General features: G+C 41.9%; 1 non-coding gene across 1 annotated transcript, besides 2 other annotated features; it reads right to left on the reverse strand.

Annotated features, from left to right (window-relative positions):
- Positions 612-1125: an enhancer, noted in NCBI's record as "OCT4-NANOG-H3K27ac hESC enhancer chr15:62587380-62587893 (GRCh37/hg19 assembly coordinates)". NCBI's record gives its function as "activates a minimal SCP1, AML or CMV promoter by ChIP-STARR-seq in primed H9 embryonic stem cells {active_cell/tissue: H9 hESC(primed)}" and the evidence as "EXISTENCE:reporter gene assay evidence [ECO:0000049][PMID:30033119]".
- Positions 2241-2535: a silencer, noted in NCBI's record as "tiled region #8292; HepG2 Repressive non-DNase unmatched - State 22:ReprW". NCBI's record gives its function as "represses a minimal TATA promoter and a strong SV40 promoter by Sharpr-MPRA in HepG2 cells {active_cell/tissue: HepG2}" and the evidence as "EXISTENCE:reporter gene assay evidence [ECO:0000049][PMID:27701403]".
- On the reverse strand, positions 10089-10165 carry MIR8067 (microRNA 8067). The gene has a single exon (NR_107034.1). It is a non-coding gene; the product is annotated as a microRNA 8067 (primary transcript).
- Between the last annotated feature and the right edge of the window lie 5346 nt (positions 10166-15511).

Genomic DNA, 15511 nt, shown 5'->3' on the forward strand with positions numbered 1-15511 from the left:
CTTCATTTTGCTTTCTTATGTCTACTTTCTTTCTTACCACTCCATCGCCCTCTCTTCCTCAGCAAGATGTCAGTTAAGCAGTGTTAATTATGACTGCAACAGGCACCAGTGCCCAACACATGCAGCCCTACCATCATCCCTATCTCATTTTATAAACCTTTAAAGTGGATTCACTTTCTGTTATTTAACCTCCATAAATGTACATGTACCTGTGTCTTATCTACATTTTAACTTGGAAGACTGTTGTACTGGCATGGAGCTGACCATGATGCTGGGGTCACATCACAGCCCCCACCCTTTCTAAGTTGACATATGGCCATCCCATTAGCTGGAATCCACAGATAGACCTAAGCCTGTGGCACTGAGACAGAATAGATTTTGCATTTGAGAGGTATCTTCTGTGTGACTCTTGTTTGAAGGAGGTGGTGATGGTGGGGAGAGGTGACAGAGGTAGGGAGTGCCCTCCAAATGCAAAAATAACAAATACAATGATTGACCATCTGGGAATTCTCATACCTTGATTTGTTTTTTAAGCTGTTGCCACAAACCCCCTTTTGTAGCTTTTGCTTTGGGTGGAGGTAGGAGGTAAGGTTTATTCAATCCTGCCCTGGGTAGGGAGAAAGTTAATCTGTAGCAGGACAAGCCGCAGACAAAACCCCTCAGACACTGAGTTAAAGAAGAAAGGGCTTTATTCGGCCAGGAGCTTCATTCAGCAAGACTCACATCTCCAAAAACCAAGCTCCCCAAGTGAGCAATTTCTGTCCCTTTTAAAGGCTCACAACTCTTAAGGAGGTCCGCGTGAGAGGGTCGTGATCGATTGAGCAAGCACCGGGTACATGACTGGGGGCTGCATACGCCGGTAATTAGAACCGAACACAACAGGACAGGGATCTTCACAGTGCTTTTTTTATGCAAATAATCGACTAGGTCAGGGCTTGATCTTTAACTACCAGGCCCAGGGTGTGGCGCCGGGCTGTCTGCTTGTCGATTTCATTTCTGCCTTTTAGTTTTTACTTCTTTCTTTGGAGGCAGAAATTGGGCATAAGACAATATGAGGGATGGTCTCCTCCCTTAAATCTAGCCATGTGATTTTTCACAAAAGTAAATGGAGCATGCTGCCTTTTCACTTCTGTCAGTGCTTCCACATGGAAACAAAATGCAACACAATTTTTCCAAAACCTGTTCTGATTTAACTCTCCTCTCTGGCAGTGTTACCCTTAGGGGATAGCCGACTGTCCACAGTCTACTGGAGTTTTCTCTGGTTCGGTGTTTATTTCATTGCTCCTTCTCTTGAATGAGGCTATCTTATTCTTTTGGTTTTAAAGGAGTTTATGGTGCCTGTCCTTTTTTTTTTTTTTTTTTTTTTTTTTTTTTTTTTGAGATGGAGTCTCACTCTGTTGCCCAGGCTGGAACGCAATGGTGCGATCTCGGCTCACTGCAACCTCCACCTTTTGAATTCAACCAATTCTCATGCCTCAGCCTTCCAAATAGCCACCATGCCCGGCTAATTTTTGTGTTTTTTAGTAGAGACAGGTTTTCGCCATGTTGGCCAGGCTGGTCTACAACTCCTGACCTCAAGCCATCCACCCACCTCGGCCTCCCAAAGTGCTGGGATTACAGGCATGAGCCACTGCACCCAGCCTATGGTCCCTCTCCTGAATTGGCTTACCCCACCAGGTCTGTCTCCTTTGCTTTCTGCAGCCTGAATCGATTCCTTTGTGTTGATGGGCTTTCCTAAGAGCTTTTCTGAGTTAGTTAACTTTAACTCACCTCTTCGGTGCTCTTCATGCTCTACAGGCAAGGCTGAGATGCTAAGATTTAAAAAAAGAATGCTGTTTCAGATCAAGTTGATAGCATTTGTTTTCAATATGCATTTTTAAAACATTTTTAAATTTACGGTTTGTCAGGCCTCTGAGCCGAAGCTAAACCATCATATCCCCTGTGACCTGCACATACACATCCAGATGGCCGGTTCCTGCCTTAACTGATGACATTCCACCACAAAAGAAATGAAAATGGCCTGTTCCTGCCTTAACTGATGACATTATCTTGTGAAATTCCTTCTCCTGGCTCATCCTGGCTCAAAAGCTCCCCTACTGAGCACCTTGTGACCCCCACTCCCGCCTGCCAGAGAACAACCCCCCTTTTTCCTTTACCTACCCAAATCCTATGAAACGGCCCCACCCCTATCTCCCTTCGCTGACTCTCTTTTCGGACTCAGCCCGCCTGCACCCAGGTGAAATAAACAGCTTTATTGCTCACGCAAAGCCTGTTTGGTGGTCTCTTCACACGGATGCGAGGGAAACGGTTCACTTAGGTATATGAAAGAAGTGTGATTGTATTCAATGACTACAGCAGCACTGTAGCTCTGGCCCTCCCCTAGGGGAGAGAGGTTGATAATACTCCATCTTCAAGGGCATTCTTTACAGTGCGCCAGGTTAGTTGTTTTCCCACTGGCATTTCTAAGGAATGCAGTCAGTAGTGATGGAGATGCATTGAATTTTATTTCTGAGTCCTAAAAATAGAAATGAATCCTTTAAACTTGTGCATAGTATGTTTACCTTTCCCATAGAGTGGGGTTCCTTCAGACATCCCTTAGGATTCTACCTCTGGGTTTTTATAGGCCTTTGGCTAGAAAGAATGAATGTTCCTCAGCTCTCAAGCCAGCTGCACTCAGAAGATAGGAATACCTCAAGGCTCCTCGCATTTTTCCTATTCCGTTTTCACTGAGACTGATAACATTTTGCTGAGGGCACAGTGACAGAGGAATGTGGCCGTCATTTGCAGCCCATTGATTGGTTCCCAGCTGGTTCCCACGCAGGAAGAAAAAGCACCCCTGAGCTCTCCTCAGTATTTCCAGATGTAATGAAAGAGGACCTCTTTCTGCACAAAGGCAGCCCCAGCTTTTGGCTTGGGCAGAGGAGTTCTGATAGTGCTGATTGGTGCATTCATGGGAAATGAATGAGTAGAAGCCACAGTCTTTCAGAACCTGGGCTCTGGGGAGTGGGAGTGAAAAATAAAGATGCACCTTGTTGGTTTAGTTGATCCCCAGGTTTCTTTCCTTCTGTCAACTTCAGGTTTGTGATCATAGCAACCAGACTGAATATGCAAAAGGCTTAGGCGCAAGCAAATCTATAATCTATGCATATTTGAATGGGCTTGGTGACATCATGTACACAAAGTACATTTGGGTAGAAGTGCATGTGCTAAGTCTCCTTTTCATACTATACTGTCCTTTTCATACTGTACTTCTTTTTTGTTTGAGACAAGGTCTTGCTGTGTCTCCCAGGCTGGAGTGCAGTGGCACAATCACAGCTCCCTGCAGCCTTGAACTCCTGGGCTCAAGTGCTCCTTGTGCCTTGGCCTCCTTGTGTCTAGGGCTACAGGCATGTACCATCATGCCTAGCTATTTTTTTTTTTTATTTTTTAATAGTCAGGGTCTCACTATGTTGCCCAGGCCAGTCCCAAATGCCTGGCCTCAAGCAATCGTCCTGCCTCAGCCTCCCAGAGTGCTGGGATTACAGGTATGAGCCACTGTGCCCAGCCCTGTACTTCCCCTCTTGAAAGAGCCCAAAATATTACCAGCTTTTGGTCATGTGGCTAGGCCGCTTAGGTAGTTAGAATCCACCAACCCCGGATGCAGAAACCTTTCAGGTGGGGTAAATTTGCGTGTTTGTTTGTTTGTTTGTTTTGAGACAGAGTCCCATTCTGTCACCCAGGCTGGAGTGCAGTGGCACAATCTCAGCTCACTGCAACCTCACGTGAAGTAAATTAACAAACATTTTAAACACCTGTGTGAGTTTGGAATCACACAGAAACTCCTCTCTGCGAGGCTGGGTGGGGCTTTCCCAGCCAGACTAATGGATTTTTTATTTCTCTCTTTTCAAGACTTGCAGCACATCAGCTTAAAGGGTGAGCCAGCCAGTAGAGAGAAGGGGCCCCATCTAGGAGCCCGTAAATATCAAAGAAATGTGGAGAGACTTTGCTAGAATCCTCCTCAAGGTTGCTTTTCTTGAGGTCCCCAGACCAACAACATCAACATCCATCGGCATCACCTGAGAACTGGTCAGAAAGGCACATTCTTGGCTGGGCGCTGTAGCTCACATCTGTAATCCCAGCGCTTTGGGAGGCTGAGGTGGGTGGATCATTTGAGGTCAGGTTCAAGACCAGCCTGGACAACATGGTGAGCCAGGCATGGTGGCAAGAGCCTGTAATCCCAGCTACTACAGAAATCGAGGCAAAAGAATGGTTTGAACCAGGGAGGCAGAGGTTGCAGTGAGCCGAGTTGCACCACTGCACTCCAGCCTGGGCAACAGAGCGAGACTGTCTCAAAAAAAAAAAAAAAAGAAAAGAAAAGAAATGCATGTTCTCAGTCCCCACTCCAGGCCTACTGAACCAGAAACTGAGAGTGGGGCCCAGCAGTTGGTATTTTAACAGCCTCCAGGTGATTCTGACTAACTCTCAAGTTTGAAAATCCACTTGGGGCTTGCAGGGGTCACACTCCAGGTGGCCCCTGATGCCCGCTGGTGATATGGGTCCTGTGTGCTGCTGAGCTCAGCATTGTGCAGTCGAGTGGGCTGACTGTGAGACTGGCATATGCTCCCACTGCTGAGAAGCCGCTGAGACCTCCTTCCCTCATCATCTGCGGCCTCCCCAACAAATGACTGCCAAGACATCAGTGAAAAGTCTGTATGAAGTGGATCCAAATTATTAGCCTGCCTACCACTCCTTGTGCGTCTCATCAATTGAACCCATCCCTAGACCAAGGGCCCTTTAGGTGAAGAACCAGCCCAGAAGGGAAAGAGAAAAGAGTAGAACCAATGGACCTCCAGATGGGAGCGGCGGTCAGTGAGTAGTTTAGAGCCAGGTACATGTTAGCACCCTGGATACGTGCACATGCCCTGATCTTTGCTTCCCATCTGTGAACTTCAACACCCACGTGGCTTTTTCTTATATCCTTTAAATACATATCTGACTTAGTATCACCTCATAAAAGATAAAGAATCATAGTGAAGCAGAAACAAGCCACAGACCAGTGTACACTCAAACTGAAATCCTCTTTTTCCCACCCTCTCCCTCAAGAAAACATCCCTGCCGACTTGAGCAGTATGATGGCCATAGCGAAGCAGAGTGGCCCCCAGGGATCCCGCTCTGTCCTCGCACACGCGCACACACGAAGAGCAAATGAAGCGGATCCAAGGAGTGATGACAAGCGCTGCACAGGAATGTTTGCCAAAACTCTTCTGGGGGATCCGAGTGCTCTACCAAGGACATGAGTATGCCCTGAATTTCTGCAGCTAAGGCCATATAGTCTGGTGACCAAGCATTTGGTTCCTAGCTTCAGTCTTTGGTTCAAATCCCTGCTTGGCAACTTACTACCACACCTTACTACCAAAATGTGACCTTGAGCAGTAACTTCCTTAAGCCTCAGTTTTCTCATCTGTAAAACGGGGATGATAATCTAAATCATGAAGTTGATGGAAGGATTAAACGAGGGTAATAAATGTGAATGTATAGTGTCTGGCTATGGTATGGCTTTATAAATGTTACCTGTGTTAGAGCTGTGCTTTTCAAACCATGGATCGCAACCATTCACGGTTTGCAACCAGCATTTTTTTCAAGAAAAATTTTTAATGCATTACATATTGCAGGATAAGTATTGTTTTATGAAACTTTGGGGGTTGCGTGTATATGTGTTCTGGAATGCAACAGAAAAATATTTCCTCTTGTGAGTTACAATATAGAAGTATGAAATCTCATTTTATAAAAACAGAAAAAAATAACCAACAGATACTAGGCTTAATCCTGGGTGATGAAATAATCTGTACAAGAAACCCCCATGACACAAGTTTACCTATATAACAAACCTGCATATGTACCCCTGAACTTAAAATAAAAGTTAAAAACAAAAATTCAAACAAAAAAATAAAAATTAGCTAGGGATGGTGGTGTGTGCCTACAATTGCAGCTACTCAGGAGGCTAAGCTAGGAGGATCACTTGAGACCAGGTCAAGGCTGCAGTGAGCTATGATCATGCCACTGCACTCCAGCCTGGGCAAGAGAGCAAGACCCTGTCTCAAAAAAAAAGTATTTATTATTTTTAGGCGACAGATAACACTGTATGTTTTATTGTATAGAACAGTATGTTCTGAAGAACATTTACGTCGTAGAATGGTTAAAGCCATCTTCTAGTACATTTCTGAGGGTGAGGATGGTCTTGCAGACCTGATACAGTTTTTCAATTCCCTCTCATCCAAAACCCTGTTAGCTCTCTTGAACAAATGCAGCTGACTCTTTAAACAATCCATAGAAGCCTATTAATTTCTAGTTCCTAATTTTTAATATCTCTTTTAGCAATAGGATCATGCAAACTGAAGAAAACAGTGTTATTGAAGTACTCCAGAGCTTAAAAGAACTTCTTGAGTACATTAAAGAAAATATTGACCAAAAATTATCCCTTTAAGTGTCAAGGCTGTTCTTAAAAAAACAATATTACTTAAGAACGGGAAAATAAATTCCTACTTAAAGTGGATAATTATTATGGCACTTGCCATGACTATCTTTTGAAATGGTATCAGCCCTTGGAGAACTCTATTCTTTTACATGCACTTCTGGCCTGTGAGCAAGTGAAGTTTTTATATGTAGCATTGAAGAAGAGGAAAATAAAAGTTGATATCAATGCTCTTTTTTGTCAGTGGATTATTTAAAAGTTGTTGATGAAGAGATGCAATGTAATCCTAAAGAGTAGGAAAGCAATACCATGAAAGATGGTATTATATACTTCAACAAATCATATTTGAAGAGAAGCTCTCTGGGTTGTTAACTTTATGCCAGTACATGCCCAGTATACCGGCTCATCATGCTAATGTTGCGTATGTTTTCTCATTAATGAAGGTTCAGTGGACAAAAGAATAAAGTGAGTTGCATATGATAACTGTAGAAGCTGTGTTGCAATGTAAATGGAACTTAGACTGTAACTGTAAGGAATTTTATAAGCACATTCTACGAAACAAAGAACCATTAATGAGAGCCAAATCATTGGAGAAATACAATTAAAGAGGTATGTAATTTAGATACTGATATTTTATTTCAAATAAACAAGTAATTGTTAAAGTATGTTCTGTACAATATTTTCTTATTATCTGAGTGCATATATGCATGGACAATTAGAAATTCTGATGTAATTAGGCATCCTGTATTTTTATTTGCTAAGTCTGACAACCCTTGACACATAGGTTACTTGTCCAGAGACGCAGCTAGTAAGTGACTGAGCCAGGATTTAGCAGCACAAAACGGACTAAGACAAGTATATGAGAAGGACAGGGTGATGGCAGCATCATGTAAGATAAATACATCCTCATCTACCATAAGATGCCATGAATTTTTGTATTAAATAAATGAATCGAGAGATATAAAGACATTGCATTGTTTCAACATGCTCTGAAACATGCCTGCCACTAATTACCTGTTCCCATCAATGGATTATCTTCCATTTTAATAGTTAGTTGCTTTCTCCCTGTCTCTGAGTGCTGTGTCCTGTCCTGTGTTCTCCTGTGTCCTGCTAGTACTACTACAGAGTTAATTATCAAATATTTAATGAGTTCCGGTTACAAGTCAGACTCTTTTAATTATACTCCCTTTGACAGAAAACAGTTACCTCCTGATGGGATCAGAGTTGAAACATGGGTTTCTTCTCCCCTCCATCCCTCATTCACGCACACCAAATCACCCTACAGGGAGCAGGTAAAGGATCCAGACATCAGAGACAGCCCCAGCGATGGAAGGGGTCATTCTTTCCTCTTCCTGGAGCCTCAGTCCTGGTCTTCCATACTCTGGCCCCAGGAGCTGTCTGAAGTGCTCTCCTAGAGAGCCAATCCCACTGTCTATTTTTAGTCCTTAGTTTTATTTGAATATTGTGTAATCTCAGATTGGAGTTGGCCCTCTAACAACCTCAGCCCCAGAGAACCTTCACCAGCTGGGAAAGCTTCCCACCCCCCAGCAGGAAGGAATTACTCTCAAAAACTCTTACTCTGTATTTCTGTTTTACAGGCTTTACTGTGCTCAGAGAATATCTATATATAAGGTTCAACAACTCTACAAGGCAGGCAGCCTGGATATTATCCCCATTCTGCAGATTAGGAACAGAACCATGGAAAGGTTATACGTGGCCATTATGCACTAGTGTAGCCATACCAATTGTTAAAAAAAAAAAAAAAAAATCCAAACCAGGTGATAAATAACTGTTGCCCCAAATCTTCTGAGTTATTCTGCTAATAGTTATTCAAGCTTTTGTCCCAAAGCCTCTCTTTGCCCCTGGCTGTCCTAGACCTTCTCCCAGGACATCCTAGACCTCACTACAATTCACCAACTGAAGAATTAATGCCTAGCACAGCAGGAATCTTGGGGACCATCCCTCTGATGGGTCAGAACCTGCCGCATATTAGAATATATTTTCATACTTTCCCTGGTTGTATGACTGACCCTAGATTACATGAGTAAATAACAGAAATAGGAAATTTATACTGAGGCAACTCAGTATAAATTTAATGGGTCAGAGAAATGGACTAAATAAAGCCTGCCTTGGCCAGTGTTTGTCTTCCCTTAGTCTTCTTCTTAGAACATTTTAACATTACATGTGTTTGAAGCCATCTGATGATAATCCAAATTCTTTTTTAAAGTCTTATAAATATTCATATACCTTCCTCATAATCAAAGGCATAGCTGGAGAGTTAGAGCTGGGCTCTGTTACCTTTACCCTATCAGGGCTAGAGGCTTTGTATTTCCAATATTTAGCTTATCATCTGATGCAATGCTCTGGAACAACTCCTAATTATTTCTGATGTCAAGGTGTCAGGAGCTACCAGGTCTCCTCACAGACATTTCCAGTGCTCATAGAGGCAGGTGTGTGACAAATCACATGCACCCACAGGAAGAAAACATAACCAAATGAAACATGAAAGAACACACATGTCTGAATTGGGGATGAAGATCACATCCCCACTTCTCCTCTAAATAATGCCTTCTTGCTTATCCTTGTGTCTGGGTTATTATGATGATGGAAGTGAAGTTTAGCTAGGATGCGGTTGTGAGGAGTTTTCAATATGGCACATGGGCTTTCGGCTACATTAAACCTGTGACAAAAAGCGCTCATTTGAGTCAGGCTGTCACTGTAGCTAACCATGCATCCAGTGAAGTTTCCTAAATTGTTGCAAGCTGAACTGATCAACTCATGAGTCCTAAGATCAGTTCAGCTTGCAACAGTTTAGGAAAGGACTCCAGAGGCCACAACCACTAATGCAGATGTGGAACGGGCTCTTGAAACCCCCAGAGGTGACCAGCAGAACCATAGCCAGACTCAGACTAAAAAGGGCATAAAGCACTACTTTAGATACCGCATATAAGAGGAATCATATAATGATTGTCGTTTTGTGACTGGCTTATTTCATTTAACATCTTCAAGTTTCATCCATGTTGTAGCATTTACAGAATTTACAGAATTTCCTTCCTTTTTAATGCTAAAAATATTCCACTGCATGTATATACTACATTTTGGTTATCCATTCATGCATCAATGAATATCTGGGTTGCTTCTATCTCTTGGCTATTTTGAATGATACTGTTATGAACATGGGTGTGCAAATATCTCTTTGAGACACTGCTTTCAATTGTTTTGGATATACACCCAGAAGTGAGATTGCTTGATCACATGGTAGTTCTATTTTTAATATTTTGAGGAATCACAATAGTTCATTAATTTTGATTGCTGAACAATGTTCTGTGGATATACTATATTTTGTTTATTCATACATCAGTTGATAGACATTTGACTTGTTACCACTTTTTGCCCATTAAAAGCGATGCTGCTACGAACATTCATGGGCAGGTCTTTGTGTGGACATATGTCTTTATGTCTCCTGGGTAGATACGAGTGGAATTTCTGAGTTGTATGATAAATTTATCTGTAACTTTTAAAGAAATAGACACACTATTTTTCCAGAGCGGCTGCACCATTTTGCATTCCCACCAGCAATATATGAGGGTTCCCATTTCTCCACACCTTTGCTAACACTTGTCTGTCTTTCATTACTGGCTGAAAGTCTCAAGAAAGACTGTGCACTCAGGATCATCTTTATGACTAAGTTTACAGTTTCTAGGAAACACAGAAGGATAGTAGGGCAAGTTTTAAGACATCAGAGGAAACCAACAGACAAATCCAGAATAAGGGACATTCCATAATGTGTAAGACAATTGAAGCATGGTCTCTTCAAAGAGTCTTTTTTTTTTTACAAAGAACTGTTGGCCAGGTGCGGCGGCTCACGCCTGTAATACCAGAATTTTGGGAGGCCAAGACGGGTGGATCACGAAGTCAGGAGTTCAAGACCAGCTGGGCCAAGATGCTGAAACCCTGTGTCTACTAAAAACACAAAAATTAGCTGGGCGTGGTGGCAGATGCCTGTAATCCCAGCTACTTGGGAGGCTGAGGCAGGAGAATCGCTTGAACCCGGGAGGCGGAGGTTGCAGTCAGCTGAGATCACACCACTGCACTCCAGCCTGGATGACAGAGCAAGACTGTCTTAAAAAAACAAAAAACAAAAAAACAAAAAACTCTCCTATATTAAAAGAGACTAAAGAGATGTGGCAACCAATGAACCAATGCATGAGTTTTAATTGGATGCTAGTTTCAGAGGGAAAACATCTTTAAGAGATATTTTGGGAACACACAGGTAGACAAAGCAAATGTGGCAAAATATTAGCAACTGTTGAATCTTCCTGTTGGAAATATGCATGTTTATTATACTATTCTTGTATGTTGACAATTTTTATGAATAACTTTTTAAAATCTCATTTGAAGACAGACAAAAAATAACTCCAGAGCCAATATATCCTGCTGGGCAGAAATATCAAGAAAATATCTTTGGTCAGCCAGTATGCTAGCCTCTACTTCTGTCACATTTTCTAAGTCCTCTTCCAGGTATTATTACCTTCTTGTCGGTAACATCCTTCCTGGAACCCCAGGGATAAGCAATGATGTGACCACTGATCCTCCTTTCCCTCCCACCTCTTTGAGAACTTCAGACAATTTAAAAAGAATAAATGGTGACTGAACATAGATAACCCTCTGGGAGAGAATTCTACAGAGTTCTCTCCGACCTCATAATGCAGCGTTCTAGTTGAGAATCCACAAGGTGAAATTTCCATATTCAGCACACATTCCTTGTCCTGTCCAACCTTTGGCTCATAACTTGTTACTTTTCATGTATTTGTGTATTTGCCCCCCTTACCAACCTCCATGAGACGGGAATTCATCTTTAGATCGCCGATAGGGCCGGGGGCAGTGGCTCGCGCCTGTAATCCCAGCACTTTGGGAGGCCAAGGTGGGTGGATCACCTGAGGTCAGTATTTAGAGATCAGCCTGGCCAACATGGTGAAACCCCATCTCTACTAAAAATACAAAAATTAGCTGGGTGTGGTGGCACGTGCCTGTAATCTCAGCTACTCAGGAGGCTGAGGCAGGAGAATTGCTTGAACCTGGGAGGCGGAGGTTGCAGTAAGCCGAGATCGTGCCACTGTACTACAGCCTGGGTGACAGGGCGAGACTTCGTCTCAATCAATCAATCAATAACTATAGCATGTAGCATATGTACTGTACACAAAGTAGGTGTAAATATTTCTACTGAATGAGTGAATGAATGAGTGAATGAATGAATGGATGAAATTCTGAAGTTCGGGGAGGACTTACCCAGGAAGAACACAGTGGGCAACACAGAAGGAGCTGATACAAAGAAGCAGAGAGATTTTTCTGAAGATATCTGAAGGTACCGTCTATGTACACATAGATCTTAGAATCGGGAACCAAAGGACACTGAGAGCCCTTGGAAACCATTAACCTTTCTTGCCCGCCCGCAGCACAGCTGGTGTAAGCTCTTTCGACTCAGTGAGAAATATCCCTTTCTTAGCTTTGAGGACAATGCTTGTTTTTCCCATTCATTAAAATGCATACACCTGCAAAAATCAATTTTTTTTTGATGATGGTGCAGTCAGGATCGGAACACCATTAAACTGTTCCTGCTGCTGCTAATTAGAATTAACTCATTAGCACAGAGGGCTAAGCTGGAGGTGCCAACAGCTCAGCTTCCTGCTTCACCTCTCTCTCTGCTGACAGACCAGGAAGGAAATGAAATATACTTAGTTGAAACGATCTAGTGGCTTCGCAGGAAACGGGTCTTGCCAGATTTCAGGGCCTTCTGCTCTTCACTGACCTGGAAGAAAAGAGTTCCACTCATGAATTCTAAGGAAATTTATCCTCAAAATGGGAACTTGGAAGAGACAACCAGAAAACACCAGTACTTATAACGCTCTTTGGAAGACGTCACTCATCTGGGTCAGGCGCAGTCGTTCTAGCTTAACTCATGTACACTGGTAACCTAGTGCTCCCAGGCCTTGCGGAGCAGTCCTGCACAAGGCCCTTAGGAGACGGAGGTTACAGGAAAGGCCGGCAGCTTTATTTTGTAAGACTAGCAGAGCCACCTTGTGGTTGCTTTAGAAAATTGTGTTTGAGACTGCGGTCTCAAACACTAGAAACAGCATTAAATGATGACCCCAGAGGCAGGAGACGCAAAAAGGAGGAAAGCAGCCAGTATTACCAAGGAAACTTGGAAGCAGAGATAGTAGCATTAAAAAAATTAGTTCTGTTGACAACTATGTTTAAGCAATTTTGAGTTAAAGTTAAAACAACTTCCTCCTCAGACCCTCTAAGATGTTCTCATTGATTGTGAAGCTCTAACAGCAGTATATTCAGCAGTATTTTAAGGATTAGTATGTGTGATCTGAATTTGATAAACACTCTTTAGAGCCACATGGTGAATTACACAAAAATCACACCTGTCAGTACATGAAAATGTTCCTCCATTATTAGAGAAATCTAGTTACTAGAAAACAGTAATGTTCTTTGATGACACTAGCCTGGAAGGCTCAAGTGTGGATTCTTTCAGCTGTACAGTTCCTTCAGGTGTATTTGATCTAATTCAAGCAGGGCATTCCCTTCCAACACTCCTGAAAGATGGTCACACAGGCAGTGGCTGACAATGCCGCGGGCCCCAGCATGTTTGGAGCTCATCAATGTGAAGTGACTCATTCCCTCTGTGTTCAACTCTGTAGGAATTTCTTATATTGGGCTGAAGTCAGCCTCTATGCCTTACATGAATTGGTCTTAGTTCTGCTATTTGAAGCTCCACAGAGTGACTAATCTTTTTCCTTCATGACAATCTTTCAGGAATTTGAAGAGTTGTTATGTCATCTCATCTCAAAATCATCTCCAAGGAAAGCTACCCCAGCATTTTCTATCACCTATAATAGTACCTGGATGTGGTTTTCAGACTCTTCAACCTCCTGGTTACCCTCCTAAAAGCACTTCCTCTGCCTCAGTGTCCCACTTAAAAAGTGTGTGACTTGGAATTGGATACAGCACTTCAGAGCAATGGGCAGTGGGACTACCCCGATATTATATACACAGAGAAAATATTTAATGAACTCTATAATTTTATCAAGGTGTTGAGCTTTTTGAGCACCAACATCTTGAGTAAAAAAAAAAAATCTTTTTACATAGTTGCTAAGCCAGGATTCCCACATTCTCTATGTTTGTACGTACATTGTTTTTTATAACATAAATGTCACACTTCATTCAGTCCTACTTAATTCAATTGGTGGTAACCCATCACTTTAGCTTCTGGAGATATTCTTCCCAACCACTGATTTATCTATTTGTTCACCCTTCCATTCATTCAATAAAGATTTATTGAACAGCTTTTATGTATTAATCATTTCTTAGGCTCTGGGGATTCAAAGACAGTGTCTGTTGCAAAGGAGCTTACTACCATCTAGTAAGAGAGCATTGGTAATTGTTTCTATAATGTCACTGGGTCCTATAGTTGTCACTGGAAACCTTTCTCCAAAATTAGACTGACCCACACCACAACTGTTTAGTTGGGGTACTTCTAGCAGATAAAACTTTATCTGAAGTTATCATGAGAAATTTATCAGTTGTCTTGCTGAAAACAAGATTAGGCCTACACTATTAAACCAGTAAAATGTTGCCGGGCACGGTGGCTCATGCCTGCAATCCCAGCACTTTGGGATCACGAGGTCAGGAGATTGAGATCATCCTGGCTAACATGGTGAAACCCCGTCTCTACTAAAAATACAAAAATTAGCCGGGCGTGGTGGCGGGCGCGCCTGTAGTCCCAGCTACTCGGGAGGCTGAGGCAGGAGAATAGCGTGAACCCAGGAGGCGGAGCTTGCAGTGAGCCGAGATCCCACCATTGCACTCCAGCCTGGGTGACAGAGCAAGACTCCATCAAAAAAAAAAAAAAAAAAAGAAGAAAGAAAGAAAGAAAATGTCTTCCACATTCAAAATGGATCAAACCCTAACATTAAATGCAGACACAAGTCAATTTAATTGTATATCAAATTGCTAACATAACACCAGAGAAAGTATAATCAATTCAAGTAATTTTTGAAAATAACATAATCTAAGTGAGTAACATCTTGTGGCCACAAATAACTGCAAAAAATCTTGAATTCACATAGTAGGTTTGTTGTTAGTAAAGCAACAAGTATAATTCTGAAACTATTTTGTATATAATTGCAGGATAAAACAAATAAATATATTGATATTTTGGAGAAGAAAATATCAAGCCTCTCACTGTAGGAGAATTTGGAATGAGTGTAGATGAAAAAGAACCCTGTAGTATTGGATTTGAATTGGAGATGTAATATAAAATCAATATTTTTAAAAAATATAGCATATACTCCAGGTATACCCACTGAAAGGGCTTCAAAGCAATGATATCCCAGTAACTGGGGCACTTGCAAGCATCATGACACTTCACCTCTGCATGTTTCGGCATGTATCTCCCAAGAACAAAGATATTCTCCTAAGGAACCACAATATCATTATGACATATAAGGATTTAATATTGATTCCTCTTTAAAAAGAATCAGGGCTTTTTAGAGCAATGGATGATTCCAGGAAAGTATAAGATGAGCCTGGAAAGTCTTACAATTCTAGAAGGTGAGGATACGTTCAAAGACTGATGGAGACATGCCAAAAGGACACAAGAGCCAGGTTCAGGAGGCTCCCATGGTCAACTTCAGGGCAGTTTGAGCACCAAAATCAATAATGAAGTAAAGGATTATAATGGACTAGATAAAAAGGAATCCATTTGTGTAGATACTATAAAACCGGGCTGGAGGGGAAGAGAAGAGATTCTTTTTTACTAAAGAATATCAGTTAATTTCCTAAGCACATAGATCATTCTCAAGGATAAACCATATGTTAGGTCACAAAACAAGTCTTAAAAGATCCAAAAATTGAAATTTGTCAATCATCTTCTCTGACCACAATGGAATAAAACTAGAAGTTAACAACAAGTGGAATTTTGGAGACTATACAAACACATGAAAATTAAACAATATGCTCCTGAATGACCAGTGGGTCAGTGAAGAAATTAAG

Source organism: Homo sapiens, chromosome 15, assembly GCF_000001405.40.
Source record: "Homo sapiens chromosome 15, GRCh38.p14 Primary Assembly".
NCBI classification, from domain to species: Eukaryota; Metazoa; Chordata; class Mammalia; order Primates; family Hominidae; genus Homo; species Homo sapiens.